General features: G+C 41.7%; 1 protein-coding gene across 8 annotated transcripts in view, besides 3 other annotated features; it reads right to left on the bottom strand.

Annotated features, from left to right (window-relative positions):
• Nucleotides 1–17,475, bottom strand: part of KCNJ15 (potassium inwardly rectifying channel subfamily J member 15) — a 77,432-nt gene that overhangs the window by 24,875 nt on the left and 35,082 nt on the right. Inside the window, exon 1 of one of the 8 annotated variants that reach the window (NM_170737.3) lies at nucleotides 9,926–9,975. The exons of the other annotated variants lie outside the window; for them this stretch is intronic. The gene's annotated coding sequence lies outside the window, so the exon portion shown is untranslated. Of the gene's footprint in view, nucleotides 1–9,925; nucleotides 9,976–17,475 lie in introns of those variants that run through there. 8 annotated transcript variants of the gene reach the window in all.
• Nucleotides 3,922–5,121: an enhancer, noted in NCBI's record as "MED14-independent group 3 enhancer chr21:39649284-39650483 (GRCh37/hg19 assembly coordinates)". NCBI's record gives its function as "activates an origin of replication core promoter dependent on BRD2, BRD4, P300/CBP and CDK7 cofactors, and independent of MED14, by STARR-seq in HCT116 cells {active_cell/tissue: HCT116}" and the evidence as "EXISTENCE:reporter gene assay evidence [ECO:0000049][PMID:35650434]".
• Nucleotides 12,562–12,611: a silencer, noted in NCBI's record as "silent region_13311". NCBI's record gives its function as "represses an Ori minimal core promoter by ATAC-STARR-seq in GM12878 lymphoblastoid cells {active_cell/tissue: GM12878}" and the evidence as "EXISTENCE:reporter gene assay evidence [ECO:0000049][PMID:35858748]".
• Nucleotides 14,042–14,111: a silencer, noted in NCBI's record as "silent region_13310". NCBI's record gives its function as "represses an Ori minimal core promoter by ATAC-STARR-seq in GM12878 lymphoblastoid cells {active_cell/tissue: GM12878}" and the evidence as "EXISTENCE:reporter gene assay evidence [ECO:0000049][PMID:35858748]".

The raw sequence follows: 17,475 nt of genomic DNA, 5'->3' as shown, positions 1-17,475 counted from the left end.
ACAATGTTCTATCTTGAAGAGAAAATTAGTTGTACATCTCTCAAAATGACAAAACCGATAAAAACTATGGGCAAACATAAGTATATTCAATTTCATCCAACAAATTACTTCCTCTGTGTATTTCATGTTCCCCAGTACACTGACCATCATAGACAAAGAGTTCTAAGATTCCTTTCGGCTCTGTTTGCTTCTTTACACCAGATGTCTCCAATGTGGGGTACACCAGTAACCCAAGCAGGGACAGTGACAAAATGATAGAAGTATTCAATTGTAGCTTCCACTTTATCCTTTTAAGTGTTTATATCTTATACATATTTTAAAATGAATCCATGGTGAACTTGAATAAATCAACAAGCAAAAAACATATTGCTCCATTTAAAAAAAATGGGCAAAGGAAATGAACCGACACTTCTCAAAAGAAGATATACAAACAGTCAACAAACTTGAAAAAATGCTCAGCATCACTAATCACTAGAGAAATGCATATCAAAACCACGAAGAGTTATCATCTCACACCAGTCAGAATGGCTATTACTAAAAAGTCAAAAAATAGTTGCTGGCCAAGGCTGCAAAGAAAGGGAAAGTTTCTACACTATTGATGGAAATGTAAATTAGTCCAGCCACTGTGGAAAGCAGTCTGGAGATTTCTAAAAGAACTTAAAACAGAGCTGTCATTTGACCCAGCAATCCCATTACTGGGTGTATTCCCAAAGGAAACTATATCATTCTACCAAAAGACACATGCATTTGTATGTTCACCTCTGCACTATTCACTAGAGCAAATACATGGCATCAAGCCAGGTGCCCATAAATGTAGAATGGATAAAGAAAATTTTGTACAAATATACCGCAGAATACTATGCAGCCATAAAAAAGAATTAAATCATGTTCTTTGCAGCAACATGGATGGAGCTGGAGACCATTATCCTAAGCAAATTAATGCAGGAACAGAAAACCAAATACCATATGTTCTCACTTATAATAGAAGGAGCTAAACACTGAGCACACATGGAGATAAATATGGGAACAATAGACACTGCAGACTACTAGAGGGCTGTGGGGTGGTTTTAAAAACTACCTGTCAGGTACTGTGCTCACTACCTGCACGACAGGATTTATACACCAAACCTCGGCATCATGCAATATTCTTGTTTAATAAACCTGCACATGTACCCCATACCTATAATAAAAGTTGAAAAAAATAAATAAAATATATGTAATTTGTTAGAGCAAGACGAAAAATGTATATATTGTGCATGTATGTCCCTAAGTATCCTTGTGTGTGCTGCGAGAGGCTATAATTTTTGAATCCATTGCTTCACACCAATACTGATTAAACTTGCATACGAATTCCCTGAGGGCTCATTTAAATGCAAATTATTATTCAAAAGGTCTGCAGTAGGTCTGAGAATTTGCATTTCTAACCAGCTCCCAGGCGAGGCTGAGGCTGGAGGTGAAAGCTCACACTCTGCATAGCAAACGGCCTTTTGCAGCCACTGTTCCTCATCTGGACAACACGGTACTGAACCCAGAAAATGGTTTGAGTGACTGTGTTCTCATTTCTTCCATGGATGGTTATAGCAAGCATCACTCTAGACATATACAATAGAAGGTAATTTATTCCATCAGTGAATGCCGTGGGGCTTAATTGAGGCTGGCTTCTCTCACATGACTGTTGAGAAAGGAGCCACTGAGGAGCTTGCTGGACTTATAACTTCACCTATGGGGAGAAAGTTCAAAGCCACTAGATGACTTCATTCTTTAAAAAAACACAGCTTATAAATCACCCATACAGTATTACAAAATGATCCTGTAGTCAGCAATTTTGTTTAAGCATTTGGCTTATATCTGGAAACTTCATTTATGGGAAACATAGCTGGAAACCAAGATTTTGACCACACCTAGTCATCAAAGATTCGGTAGTGCTAACAGTAACAGAGTGCTAAGTCAGGCGTCGCTTATATTCTCACTAATAACAGCTACCTCTATATACCCTCACCCTGACGTGCCCCTGATGTTGGGAGTGAGTGGCTTACAAATGCTGTTTTCCCAAAGAAAGCGAACACACACCCACACACTATTGCCTGAATACAATGAATCTCTTAATTTACAAGGTCTGCTCAACAATTCATGTATGTGTGCCCTATTATGACTTCCAAAAGACTACTTTGGTCCCATTTGAACTATATATATGCCTTAATTTCTGAGACAGCTTGCACTGTGCAACAGTGGCTGCAAATAAAATTTCAAATATTTATGTCTTCTATACTGTGTAACTGGTGTTCATCCTAAGTGATCCCTGGTTAAGTTAGACAGGTGCTTCCTCTGAAACTAGTCCGCAGTCCACAGAAACACAATGTGGCCCACCAGGACTCAGTCTTCCAACCACTTTGACATGTTCAAGAGGGATTAAAGCCAATGAGGCAGGATGAAGACCCTTAAAATTGCCACTTGAGGGGAGTTGTTCCCCAGTTTAAACCTAGTTGGCCAATTCCCAGTGGTCTTCCTTGGATCTATCTTCAGCCCTGTTTTCAGCCAAGACATTGAACTTTCAGGAAGTAAAATTGAGAGTGGGACCCCAGTTGAAAGACCTTGGCAATGGCCTTCTGTCTGCTCTGTGTGCCATGTCCTATTTCATTCATTGGTAATAAAACCCATGGAGTTAAAGAGATCAAAATGCTTGTCTTGGGGTTGAGAGGAGAGACAATGAGTTTGTCTAAATAGAATGGCTTTCACTAAAAGCCAAGCTTTGGGGAGCAGAGTCAATGATATGGAGAAGAGCTTTAAAAAGGACAGAAGCGATACTTTGCTTCCACTTCCTTGAGGGCTGGGTGATTACTCTTCAACCAAGAGAGTAACCTCTCAGCTCACCACTCCACTTGGTCAGAGTTACTTACAACTCAGCTGGCAAATACATTTCATTCCTTATCTTCCTTGATATTTCCATAGCATTTCAGTCTGCTGCTACTCTCTTCTCTCAACTTGACCTCTACTTTTCTGATGCCTTCTCAGTTCCATCTGTAGGTTCTTCCTCTTCTGCCAATCTTGAAGTGGCATTTTCTCCAAGGCTCCATGCTCCAACTATTTTATTTTCACTAAAGACACACTCCTGCATCTACTCCCATGGTTTCAGATGTTACCTTTGTAGTTCATGAAGCCTAGACTTTTTGTGTTCCAGATTGCTCTTGCAAGACTGCCAGAACAACAGTCAACTGTGTGTGGTTCCTCCCTTTGATTGCCCACAAACACCCCAAATTAGACCCAGCCTAGCTTCATTATCCATTACCCAGGGCAACTCCCTTCCTCCCGTAGACCCTCAGGCACTGAAAAATACTCAGCACCCCGAGTCTACCCCAACATCCCTTGAAGCTGTCCATTTTCTCCCTTCCCACTGTCACTGCGTTGGTTTAGATCCACACATTTTCTTTCTTGGGTGACACTGCCTTGGTTTAGATCCACATACTTTATTTCTTGCATGACAGCACAGGCTCATAATTGAGGTCCCCATCTCAAGTTGTCCTCTCTCTATAGCATCCTTCATAGTCCCTCCTCAGTGGTGTCCCTAAAGCACTCTGCCGCCCAGCTTAGTGGCCCCATTGTCTACAAACCAAAGCCTCAGCTCCTGAAACTGACCCTTCAGAAACTGGCCCCACCTGCCTTAGTGCCAGCCACTCCTTAGGTTGTTACCTGGTCAGGTCATGCAGAATGACTTGCAGTTGCCCAGATGGATTAGTCCTCTATTGATTGACTTGATGCCATGCCATCTGCCCGAAAGCCCACCTCCTGTCTTGGCCAGCGTTCTCATGTCTATCCTTTGGGGTGTTACCCTTTCTAGGTAGGTGCTTTCTCCACCTGTTCCCATGGGTTTGGGGCTTTCTCTACATGATTGCCTATGCTTCTGTCTCCCAGAATATTTATCTCAGTGTACTAGAGATATCTGTTTTGCTTGTGTATATTTAATTATAATAATGATCCAACCAACAACTGCCACTAGTTGAGAATGAATATGTAACTAGTACTGTGTCGGCAGCTCATGTATGTATAACTCCACACTTCAGAGTAATGCTGGTAAAAATAAGTAAATGGAGGCTAGATAAGTTAAAGCATTTGCCTAGGGTCACACAACTAGCTAGTAGTGGCGACAATGTTTAAGATTGTAGTCTGACTCAAAAGCCAGCTCTTCATCCATCACACCCCACCACCTTCCACTGGAATGCAAGCTGCCATATCTCATCTTGTACATGCCAATGCCTAGGTTCTAGCAGGGCCTTAATGTCTGCTGAATGCATAAATGGAAGCAAAGGAAACTTGGAATCTTCCAGTTATAGAAAGCACCGCTGGGTCTCAAAAAGCAAGCTCCTACACATTGGTTGTGGTGATGAGCTGAGCAGAGGGAACGTCATTGTGTCTCAATACCCTACAGTACACATAGCTGTTTACTGATGCGTGATGCAGACGGAATCATGCCTGCAAAGTCAGTGTTCCCTAGAAGTTCTTTGAGGGCAGGGGTTGGGCCATGTCCACCTTTGTACCCTAAGTAGCACAGTTGCTGGCATGTGGTAGATGCTCCAGAAAAGTTTTAATGACTCATGACTATAAATGAGTCAATGACTTAATCCGTGGATTAATAATCTATAAAGAATGAATGAAGGTCAAAAACACAACCCAAAACATGTGAGTGCTCTCCATGCATTTATCATTACCTGCGTAGTTGTCTAAATTGCTTTTTGAGAGTGATTTATAGTGCACATTTTTCTATCTCTGTGGGAAATGAGCTTCCCCAGTGTTGAAATCTTCTGAGTTAAGAAGAACTTCCTTTTATCTGTTCTGACTCAGACCCTCTTGGAAGCTGCACTCGCTCTTGCAGATGACTTGGTAGATGACTCTTATGCCGTGAATCACCCGTATCCTCCAAGAGCACGTGGAAGTTCAGATACAGCTTTTCTCCCTGAGAGTGGTTTGCTTCTTAGTTATGATTAATTATTTCTGCAGTTACTTGTAGGATTAGGATTTCTACTGGAGGAGAGTAATTACTTTCACATGAACATCAGCTCCTCATTCATTTAATTTGACTCGCCCCTAAACGCACGTGCACAAAATTAGCCTGGAAATTACTGCGGGTCCTACTTGTTTATATTCATCTGGTGACCATTTTAGCAGCTTCATCAACAACATCTTTAAGAGGTCCAAGGATTTAACTTGAGAATCATGGCAAAGTCAAGTGCTCCCCTAATCCTCCTCAATTCTTCCCATCAGCCATCAAATGTTCACATTCGATCTCCAGGATATGTTTACAAAAATCAAAGATGCCGAGTCTTAATTTGGAAAGACCATTGTCAACTTCTTAGTCATGAAAAATAGGACCTAGTTTCTTTCCTTTTTTTTTTCTTTTTTGGTGCTACTATTGATGTATTGATTTTCCTGTGATAATTTTACACACACACACACACACACAATTTTTTAATCTAAACACTCTCAGACCATAGTAATTGTCAATTACCAGAAGGTGGGAGTCTCTTTTTACTAAAATTAAGTGGTCATTTTTAGATATTATATTGAAATATCTTAAAATCTTCCTAAAATATGTATGCAGTTGATAAATCTAGAATGCATACTGAAATGATTGCTTTTGTCTCCTAGGATGTAAATGCCTTGATCAAACTTCAAGTTTTAAAAAATATTTTTAAAGTATGAATTCAGATGTTTTCTTTGAGAAATAATATCCTACTTTTTGAATATATTCTAAAATATAATTTTTTAAACTTTTATTTTAGGTTCGGGGTACCAAAAAAAGGGTATGAAGGTTTGTCACATTGATAAACTTGTGTCATGGGGGTTAGTTGTAAAGGTTATTTCAACACCCAGGTATTAAGCCCAGTGCCCAATAGTTCTCTTTTCTGCTTCTCCTTCCTCTCACCCTCCACCCTCAAGTAGACCCCAATGTCTGTTGCTCCCTTCTTTTTGTTAATGAGTACAGGACCCAGTTTCTAACATGCTATTCCTATTACCATTTTAAATAAAACATAGAATGGGTGATTGAGAGAAACTGTAAAACACACATAATTTAGTACTGAAATTATGACATAGTTCTGTGAACTCCATGGGGACACGCCCAGCCCTACCCCAAGAATGGAACTATGGTACCATTTCCTAAGAGCTGCCATTATTCCCCAGTGACTCCTAATTACCAAAACATCATTCATTTGCTCATTTATTCAGCAAACATTTTATACTACTGTGGTCTTTGAAATACGTAAAGGTGAGAGATGCATGATCTTAGCCCTCGAAAGTATACCATTTGATATAAGAGATGACATATACATAAATTGTTATCATGCCAAGCAGAATAGGCTCCTTCATGCCTTAACAGTATCCCATGGACACTTCTATCATAAAAGTTGATACTCACTAGTTCATGTGTAACCAGTGAGCTGGCAAGACTGTAAGCTGCTTAAAGACAAGGACCTTGTCTTATTTCTCTCCATTTTGTCCATATCTAACACAAGGTCTGCCTAGATCACATGAATGAATATGATATATTAAAAGGTATTAAGGATTTCCAGGAGGAGGACTGATTCCTTCTAACTGGAAAAATCAAAGAAGTTATCATGTGTTTTCTGTAGGAAAAAAAAATAGGAGAAAGAAGATTACAGACAAGGGGAATTGCCCAGGCAAAACTATGGGGTGGCAAAGTATGTTTCAAGTACTCCCAATTGATTGGGCCATAGGGTTTATCAATTATCAGCGACTTTCAACCATGGCTGCCTATGAGATTCACCTAGGGGGATTTTAAAATGAACTAATGCCTTGGCTCTGACACAGGACAATAAAATCAGAATATTTTGGTGGGGCACAGGGATGTGAGTAAGAGCCTGAGCTCTGCTCTTTTAAAAAGGGAGCCTCTGATCTTTTCAAAAAAAAGTTTCCCATTTGCTTTTTGCTTTTTTTTTTTTTTTTTTTTTTGACGGAGTTTCGGTCTGTCGCCCAGGCTGGAGTGCAGTGGAGTGATCTTGGCTCACTGCAACCTCTGCCTCCCCGGTTCAAGCAATTCTCATGCCTCAGCCTCCCAAGTAGCTGGGATTACTTTCTTCAGATACACTGGGGTATCTGAAGTTAGTATGAGGCCATATTGGGAACTACACTGGCAATGAATTTTAAAAGGTGATGCGGGTTAAACTGAAAAGTTTGATCTTTCTGCAGGAAAAAAGAAGCCAGGCTCATCTAGCAAGACAGATGGAGAGGGAGGAGAGCAGCTAGAAGGAGATCATTTAGGAGGCTGTTGAATTTGTCTAAGTAATACATGAATTCAAGAGAATCACCACGTTGGTTTGCCACCAGGTAAAATTCACACACCTGTCATATGTGAAGTAGAAAGGTTGAACAGGAGTGGAAAGGACTCTGGAGTTTGCTGCCTGGATGGAAAGGAAGATTTGGATGAAAAGCAGAGTGTATTGAGGTGACATGGTGGTGTTGGCTCCAAGCATGTCCATATCTAGGAATTAAATTTGGGGCTGGAGGTGGAAATTGAAGAATCATTGTACCTAGAGGTAAAAGTTGACCAGATATGAGTCAATGAGAACTGCAAAAAAAAGAAAAATACCAAGGGAAGAAAGCAACTGAAGGGGCAATCTTAGAGGCTGCCTGTATTAAAGAGAAGAGGAGAGGATTTTCCAGCAAAAGAACTGGAGAAAGGCCAGCCAGATGGCTGGACACCTATGTAAATTAATAAAAGCAGACAATTAAGAAGGCAAGATTTCAAGAAGGAGGACGTGATTCAGAGGTCAATATTGGAGGAGGGACAAAGAAGTACTGATGTTATTAGGGAGGTAAGACAGAAAAGAAAGGGACATTTGTTTCCCTAAGATAGGAAGGAAAGATGAAAGGATATATTTATTGCACATGTATTTACCCATCACCTACTATTTTTGACTATACTAGACACAGGGGAGATAACAGTCCAGACAAGGCATTTGCTCTCATGAGGCTTATATTCTAGTTGTGGGGAAGTGGAAGGAAGACAAGTTATAGAAAACGTGTGCAAGAGCTCCACGTGCATTTTCCACAGACAGCATCTTCCTGTTTATTGAGGAGTAGAGGAGGACAGAAATTGGAGAAGTGTGATCTTACTAAAGGGGATGATGGTATGGCACTTTGGTGTAAGAGGAACAAGCTGAAGGATGTGGAACAAACTTGGCTAGCTTTTGAGTCACATGTAGGAGAGGCAACAAGAGATGAAGAAAGGATTCAGCCAGCAGGCAGGTCTCTGTGAGGTTTTCAAGCATGAACACTAGTTCACGTCTTTGCTTACACCTAACATGACTTTGCCCAGGCGGAACAGCCTGCAAGCACTGCTGCATATGGAAGAGGTGGGCTGCCCAGAGTTGGGATTGGCAAAGCCTCAGTGGTAAAGGTTACTGGGGCCCAGGTTTACAAATACCACATTAGAAACATAAACATTTGAAAACCACAGAATGTAAATGCTCAAGGTCACAGCACGCTCATCAACTCGTGGAATCCATACAGTAATTGAGCACATGAAGAAGCCTACTGACGCTGCTGTCTAGTTTTAGAAGAGCTATAATTTAGTATTGCTAGCTATCAATTAGTCCTGTTTTCCTCATCTGTAAAATGAGAGGGTTGGATGAAATGACCTCAAAGTCTTCTTCCAGCATGGTCAATGGTGAATGCTAGAGCACACGTGAAATTCTGAAAGTTAATTTACTTCTTTAACATTTATGTTGATCGTTTAACTATTGATGTTCAAAAATGCAGCTGCAGAGCTACTACAAATCTTTTAGGTCTGTGCACACAAAGCTATTAGTTTTATGGACCATTCTGATTTTAAAATAAATTGCCCTGTGAAAATATGCAACCTAAATTCTGGTGGGAGAAATCTCAAGTGACATGGGTAATTGAATAGGGTAATTGATAGGTCATTGACAGGACATGGAAATAGACCAAGTAGAAAAGTATTAGACATGAATAGGTTTTAATATTTGCAAGTTTGGAAAATGACTTTCTGAACATTGGGAGAAAAGGAGCTTTTCAAATACTAGGATGACAGTAGCTAGGGATACAAAATAAAGTTATTCAAATATGACTTGTCTTCCTGCACTAAGATTAATTTAGAGTAATATGCATAGGACCTCTTTCATCCCTTTCAAACATTGCCAGTAAGAGTTAACCAGGCCTTGGTTGGATCCTGAAAAATTAAGGTATAATGTGACCAACTAGACAATCTGTAAAGGTAACTAGAGTATTAGCTAGCTACTGTTGTTTCATATTGCAAAAATCTTGTCACTTTTCATATACAATAAGACTTTTGAATAATACTATATATAATCTTGAAAGAAACCTCAGTATGTGTACTTTTTCTAACCGCTGCATTTACACATCTTGTCACTGAAATCAAAGTCTTTGAGGCTTAAAACTTAGTGCTAACTCTGAAAGTTACTTATTTGTATATCTAACCTAAATGAATAGTTTATTGCTATTTTCAAAAGCATGTTTGGTGCATTACTATTGAAAGCAGTCTTTGGCATAACCAACTACATTTTACTTTTATACCCAAAGCCTCTGTTTATGCAGATAAATTGAGGTTCCAGTCTTTAGAGTGTAGGGTATAAGTATTAATCAGTTGATTTCCTGCCAAGGTTAATATATTTTTATTTGCAATCTCATAGAGTAGGGCTCAATCATTGTTAAGCGCTGGTAGTTTCAGAAGCAGAAGTCTTCTTCAGATCAGTAAGATTTATACTACTTGAAATTAAAAACAGCAGATAATGGGGAAAAGTCATGCCTGAGGTTAAGGTGAATCACTTTGATTGGATCTTCCAGAAATCTCCTTTAAGGTCTGGGTGGCTTTTTCCCCTCTTCCTTTGCACTACCCTGATTGATCAGCTACAAGCATCCTAAGGGGCCTTACCTTGAGTCCAGGTGCTGGGGCCCAATCTCAGCTGAAGATCCCAGAGATCTGGGGAAGTGATGAAGAGATCTGGGGAACTGACTCAGCAGGGGGAAGCCTGTGTACAACCCACACCTGCAGGCTACGTGCTCCTGTGCTGGCTGAGCCGGTAGGCAGGAACACACTCTCCACCCCAGCTTGCAGAAGCTGAGCATTCAGGCAGAGCCTCGGTCCCACCGCCCAGCTGCCCTCATCCGTGTCCAAGGACAGAGCCCTTGAGCCACGAGGGCTTCTGGCACATGGCTTCAGTTTTTATGGGTGAAAGACAGTCCTCTGGCATCATTAAGGTATTTATATCTGAGATAGCTCCAGATTTCTTAAAAGCTATTTGACAACAAAAACTGCCAAGCAGAATTAACTACCACAGAGGCCTGGAAAGCAGCACAAGTAAGTTTTTTAATTCTTCAGAGGTGGTAGAAGTCACCAGAAATTCTCCCTCTTGAATTCTCTCTAAAGGGCTCTGGATCCTTGGAAAAATGATCTGGTCAAGCCTCATACTTTAGTAATTCTTAAAACTGTCATGGTCCCATGCTTTCTGTCTCAATTGTGGCACCGGATCGCAGGTTTTGGCCGTTTCTTTTTAAAGCAGCCTCTAACGGTGGAGAAATTATTATAAACAAATGGGAGCATGCTAGCAGCTTCCCATGACAGTGGGTGGATCTCACCTGCCTTCGGTTTAGACAAGCACCATGTGAATTTCTATGGGCGTTTTCTTCCCTGTGCCATGTGTTCCTATAGTGACCTTCTGCACAGGATGGGCATGATCTGCATGGAACAATGATGGCGACGTCTGGCAGCCCAGGCTTGGGGGATCGTGTGGCCTAAGCAGTGTAGCACACAAGCTCATTGCCTTCCATTGAGAAGAATACTCAAATACACCCAGCTCAGTCTCCAGGACTTCCCCTTATAGGACCACATTAGCAATGAGAGAGCTCCAGGAAAGACATATAAACACATTTCAACTGCTTAGGAAAAGCAGGAATCGCATGCCTCTTTTAAACTGCAAGTGTTTCACTGATTTTCACTTTCCACTCACTCCTCTGATCTCTGTTGCCAAACGATAAACCAGTTTAATTATGTTGCTTCCGCCTGAGTTTGGCTTCATCTTTTCCTCTTTAGTTTCCACCTGGGATAGGAGGAGGCCTGGTGAAGAGTTCTAGGCCACATTAGGAGAACAAGCTCTTCTGTGTCCTGCAAAACCTCCGGCAAATGACCCAGCCCCTCCGAGCTTCAGTTTTCTCAATGATACTGGGAGATGGGGTCAGACTAGCTTCTCTGAAACCTCTTTAAGTTTTAGCTTTCTATGAAGGGAAATTTAAAGAAAAGCACAGAGAGACGGACTAGACTCTATTCGGGGCTTATTTAAGCAGCTACACCAACTTTACAAGAGCATCTTTTCTTGAAGATGCCCAACCAGGTTTTGTCCCTGAGAGGATTTGGAAAGGTCCACTTAGCAGAAACCCTGCTGGCCTGGGGCTCCCCAATGTCCAGATGGACTCAGCTTCACCAGATCAGTGTTGTTGCCACTCAGAAATGCCTTTGGCTGTTGGAGAAACCAGGCTGTATGCCTATCTGCTGCATATGAAATTCCTGATGATGCATGCAACGTATAGGGAATTCTACATTGACCCAGGTAGAACAGTTACACACTCCCTTAAATATGAATACACTTATGAACCTTTTCAGTCTGTTACTATAATGCAAAGAATGCAGAATCAAGTTTTGCCTTGGTCTTGCCATAAATACACTGCTCTGGTCAAATTTGCTGATTTTTTTTTATGTTCTCTTAGTTTTGACAAAACGGGATGATCACAAGTTCATTTGATATTATGCCATGTTCAACTTCGTGTTGGGCATTTTGGTGATAGGGAGGCAATATGCTATAGTGGGAAAGGTACAGGGTAGGAGCCAGACAGACTTGGGTTCAAATCTCAGATCTTCAGGTTATGACCTTCTAGGAGGAGTTAAAGTGTGAAAGCCTAGCCCCTGGGGTCATCCTGAAGATGGAGTGAGATGCCTTCTGAAAGGCAACTGGGCTAGTGACTTTGGACAAGTCACACTGTCTCCCTGATCTTCAGTTTCCTCATTTGTAAAAAGAGAGATAATAAATTTCACATTGCATTAGGCTAGGATTACAAATGCTGAGCTGCATGCACTCAGCTCAGGGTGCAAAAGGGAGCTGATTCTAGCTCAGCCAAGTCCAACGTGCTGTCAGCCCTCCAGGGGCTCGTAATCTGATTGGAGATATGGGATACACCAACACCGAATGAATCAGGACACAGCATCTGATTAGTCCTTAGTAGCAAAGAGACACACTAGGTTTTGTTCAGCCTGGAGAAGATAACATTTAGAAAGTGTAGAAGAGGTAAGGCCCCATCGGGAAGGGAAAGCTGAGTCTTGACAGGCCTTGAAGGGCTTCGAAGCTACATAATGAGATTCTAATAGAAAAGGGAAAGAATGCTTTCCAGGAATTGGAGCTGCAAAGGCAATGGCAGTGAAGTGGGGAAGCATACAGGAGCAATTGAACAGGGCGGGGGGCCTTGCTGGGGAGCGGTGGGAAGAAGTGTGGGTGAAGCAGAGTCAGGCCATAGGGTTCCTGCATGATACAAGTAGGGGCATCCCACAGAGAACCCCAGGGTGCAACAGTGGTGTTTTACAGTGGTCACTTTCAATAGATCCAGTTAAGCCTGCTAAGAATTACCAGCAGCTCTGTCTCCCAGGGACACTTTGTGCTCTCCTCGTGCAAAACTTGCTCTCTGTCCCCTCCTCTCTGGTTTCAGAGAGTATTGTGGTTTCTCTCCACACCAGCTTAAGCACTGTGTAGTCAATTTATAGTTTACAGGGATTTCCCACACACCCATATATGTTTTCCACTGAGGTCGGTGCTTTTTCCTAGACCCACCCAAATTCCAGAGCAAGGCTCACTTGCATGCCAAGTTGATTTTCTTTTTCTTTATCCCTTCTTCTCCTTATAAAACAGAGGAGATAGTTACTTTTTTAATGTTTCTGTGTATTTTTAACAGAAATGAAAGAAGCAACCCCAGAAAAAAACAATGACAAGGGTAATTTCGGATTCAATTTGCATTGACAACAATAGTTGTTCATAGAGGCAAACCCAGCAAGTGAGTTTTTTCACATTGCAACTCTTGTTTATACAAGTTTGAGTGGCTATAGGGTATAACGCCTTTTATAAGTTTAAAAAAAAAGCTTGAAAGTTTTTAACGGACAGACTCTGGCTCTGGAATTCAGGCTTTCTTTACAAAGTAAGTTTTGTTTTGTTTTGTTTTTAGAACAAAAAGAACGTATGAAAAGGGAATCAGGTCCTTAGAAAGGAAATTAGGAATCATTCTGGTCATTTTGAGAATGCTCATTCCCTACTGATTCATAAGATAGAAGACAGAAGTGCTTTCCACAACACTTTCACAAAAAATCATGTCATTTAACTTCCTTGTTGTCCTGTGGCAGGAATTTCCCTGCCTTTTGTAGGTGAGAAACTAAGAAGTTGAATCACTTGTGGAGGATCCCTCAGCCCATAGGTGGGGACTCCAGTCCAGGGCTTCTACCACCAAGTCGAACCTTTCCTTCACCAGCTGCCTTAGGGACAAGCCTTGAGCTCAGCCTGGTCCTGGGGAAGAAGGAAGGTGGGGAACAGTGGGAGGGTGGCATCCTGGAGTGGAGAGAGAAGTAGCCCACCTCTGTCTCTTTCCCATATGCCCCATAATGTACTAAGAAATTGAAGCTCAGAACATTAGTGCACCTTTCCCAAGAGTATTGCTGCCAGGAGTCTGCACACCTGGAATTCACATCCAGGAAGGTCAGATTCCAAAGGCCAAAGTCTCTTTCCATGAGACCAGGCCGCCTCTCTCATTAGAATGACCTTCCATTTGTCAGGTTTCCACCATTACCTGTCAGGGGCTTTTTCTCACTCTCCTCCCACTTTCTTTTTTTTTTTTTTTTTTTTTTTTTTTCAGATTTTAAGTACTCTTGTCAGATATTTGTTTTCTCCTCTCCAAATGTTTCCAAACTGTGTGTTGTTACTCATTTGACTTTTGCTAAGAAAATTTAGGCTGTAATATTTTTTTTAAAAAATCCACCTACATAACTTTCAATACTGCTACAATGCAGCACTTCCTTTTTTGCTGAAGTTTGGCTTAATCACAGTACAGCACTGAAAAACCAGAATATAGTCCCAGCCAAAGAAACTTGAAACTGTAGGTAGGTTAGAAGTCAGTGGCAACCGATTGTTCTGAAGAAAACTGGCATTGTTTCCTTGTTCTCCCGCTTTCATTATTACTATCTTTGTCAGATCCTGTTTGTGTTCAAAAGGCTGCTGGTCTTATGAAAGGATAAACTTGAAACATCTTGCTTTAATCATTGCAGCAATTAGCAAATAACTGCATTATCTTTCCTTTTTTATTATAAACATATTCAAGAATAGACTTGTTTAGTTGTAGTTACTCAGAGCTTCTCAGAAAACTGAAGCGGGTTGCTCATAAAAACCAGGTATTCAACCTGTTCAGAAGGCGCCTGAGTTGCTGGAATCTTCCTTCATGTCTCCAGTAATTATGTGACTACAAGAACAGATGTAACCCCCTCTCCAAGCTAAGCATATACTTTTTAAGTCATGATAGATTTAACTGAGTGAATAACTCAGTTGACTTTGAGGAGGAAGGGGAATAGGTTTGTCAAATTTAGCAAAAAAGAGCATGAGAAACATTAACCATTAATAGGCTTGAAGACAGCCAGCTTCCAGGACCCTGAGAACTCTGCTCTGCCAGCCAAATGATAATCTCTCAGTTTCTCTCAGGCTTTTCATCTGAACTGAGTTGGCAAGGTGCTACCAAGCCTTCCTATTCCACTGTTTCTTCCCTTCAACTCCCTCCATCTCCTCTTCTCTGATATATGAGTCAAGGGTGGCGCCATTAACTGTGTCTTCCTCAGAAAGTTCCTACTGTTGGTTACCAGTGGGTCAGCAGACTCATTGCTCATCTATCTGCCTCTCTGAGAGTTCACTCTCCTGCAGCGTGGTGGGTTTTTCTTCTTCCCCATCCTTTGTAATTATATTCCCCAAGGTCTTGTGCTCATCCTCCTTTATTATATCTTTCTATTCTCTCTTGGCATCCTCTGAGTTACCCTACTGCCTATTCAGAGTCCCATGGTGTTAATCAATGCTCACTAACAGCATCTCCTCAGGGATCCAGTCTCTGTTTCCAACATCTCCTGGAATGAGAGCAGTCCAGAACTGACTCATCCAAAACTGAAGGCATATTATTCTCCCTAAATCCAGCTACATCTCCTGATTTTTGTTTCCTAACAATGGCGTCCTCATTCTCTCACCTCTCCCTCTTTAAGCAACTGTACTCCTGTATCCAATCAGTGCAAGCCCCAGATTCCACCTGCTGAATCTCCCTTGCACCGGTGTCTCTCCTGCCCCTTCCCACAGCCACCATGCTGGTCCAGGTCTTCATTCCTTTCACTCAGTCTCTCAAAATACCCTTTGAATTAGTCACTTGATCATCACTGCCAGACTGGTATTTCTAAAGTGCAGCTCAGGACCCAGAAAACCAAAATATTCAATGACTTCTCATTGCCTATGTTTAACTCCCACCTCCTGCAGCAGAGGCTTAAGGGTGTGGCTTCTAGAGATGGACAACCTAGCTTCAAAGGCCAGCTTCACCCCTCTCTGAAGCCTGTGTCCTCAGCGTGTTACTTAACCTCTGCACCCTGCTTTCCTCATCTCTAAAGAGGTTAGCAAGAAAGCCTGCCTGTGTGAGGATTAAGAAATACTTAGAGCCATGGAAGGATCTAGAACCAGAAATACCATTTGACCCAGCAATCCCATTACTGGGTATATACCCAAAGGATTATAAATCACTCTACTATAAAGACACATGCACACATATGCTTATTGCAGCACTGTTCACAATAGCAACGACTTGGAACCAACACAAATGCCCTGGAATCAACCCTAATGCCCATCAATGATAGACTGGATAAACAAAATGTGGCACATATACACCATGGAATACTATGCAGCCATAAAAAAAATAAGTTCATGTCCTTTGCAGGGACATGGATGAAGCTGGAAACCATCATTCTCAGCAAACTAACACAAGAACAGAAAACCAAACACCGCATATTCTCATTCATAAGTGGGAATTGAACAATGAGAATACATGGGCATAGGGAGGGGAACATCACACACTGGGTACTGTCAGCAGGGTGGGAAGCTAGAGGAGGGAGAGCATTAGGAGAAATACCTAATGTAGATGACGGGTTGATGGGTGCAGCAAATCACCATGGCGCGTGTATACCTATGTGACAAACCTCCACATTCTGCACATGTATCCCAGAACTTAAAGTATAATAAACAAACAAACAAACAAAAAGAAATACTTAGAGCCCTGCCTGGCCTTTCAGGAGTGCTCAGCACTGTTGGCTGCCAGCTTTGTCCTGACTGTGGCCCTCACTCTCCCATTCTTTCCCTGCAGTAAGCTCAGCCCCTGTGCACACTGCCGACCTCCCGCACCCTCCTGCTGGTGCATGGTAACTCCTCCTGCTCTGAAGGCTTCTCCCCGTCCTGACCCTGGAAGTCGTCTTGTTCTGCAAGGCACATCTCAAATGTCCCAGTGCCTCTTACAGTCATCCCAAAGGGATCTGGTCTTTCCCTCTCTGACTTTCCCTGGAACTTTGTCAGGGCCTCTCATGTCAATGTCATCACATTCTGCTGGACACTGCAGCCTTTCTTGTGCTTTGGGTGTTTTTCTTTACTGTTTCTCTACCTCCATGTCTTCCTATCCACACCTCTGTCCAGCAGCAGCCTGGAGGCTCCTTGAGTCCTTGATGTCACTTATATCTTCTAAATCGACATAAGACGGACCACCCAGCCTCCTGCAGAGTAAGCCCTTGGCAAGAATATACTTGGTGAAGATCACTGAGGGTTAAAGCCTGACTATTCAAAATCTGAGTGAGAGTTGATTTAAAAACCCATCAAATATACATTTCTACCAACCACAGGGCTAGCAAGTCAGACCATTTCTTCAGATACTGAAAACTAAGCAAAGTGCTGTGCAGAAAGTATCATTTAGGGAACATTCCCAGGATATTGGACTAGACATGTTAATATCCATAATTATACAATTCATGTTTAAATGTACATATCCTTATGCAGCCCTAGACTCTGAAATGCCATATACTGGCATAGGCTGCTCCCAGCTGCAATGAAATTCGCTTGATTGTAATCACAGAAAAGTGGCCCTTACAAGTTTTAGTCCTATAATATTTCATCTTTAAAATGGGTAAATGTTAGAAAATTCTCTTCAATTTAAAATTTAAAACACATTCAGAGCCAAATACCTTTATTGCCACAGGTATGCTAACACAAGCCAGATCTAGACATAGCGTTTGAAGGAGACTGAAATGATGCTAATTTTGTTGTTTTCTGCATTTGCTGCTCCATGGATCAAATCACCCCTTTCTAGCCTGGGATTGCAGTATATTCTTTCTTTTAT

Source organism: Homo sapiens, chromosome 21 (genome assembly GCF_000001405.40).
Source record: "Homo sapiens chromosome 21, GRCh38.p14 Primary Assembly".
Lineage (NCBI taxonomy): Eukaryota > Metazoa > Chordata > Mammalia > Primates > Hominidae > Homo > Homo sapiens.
Note: the sequence above shows the minus strand (reverse complement) of the source record. Positions and strands in the feature narration are given on the sequence as shown.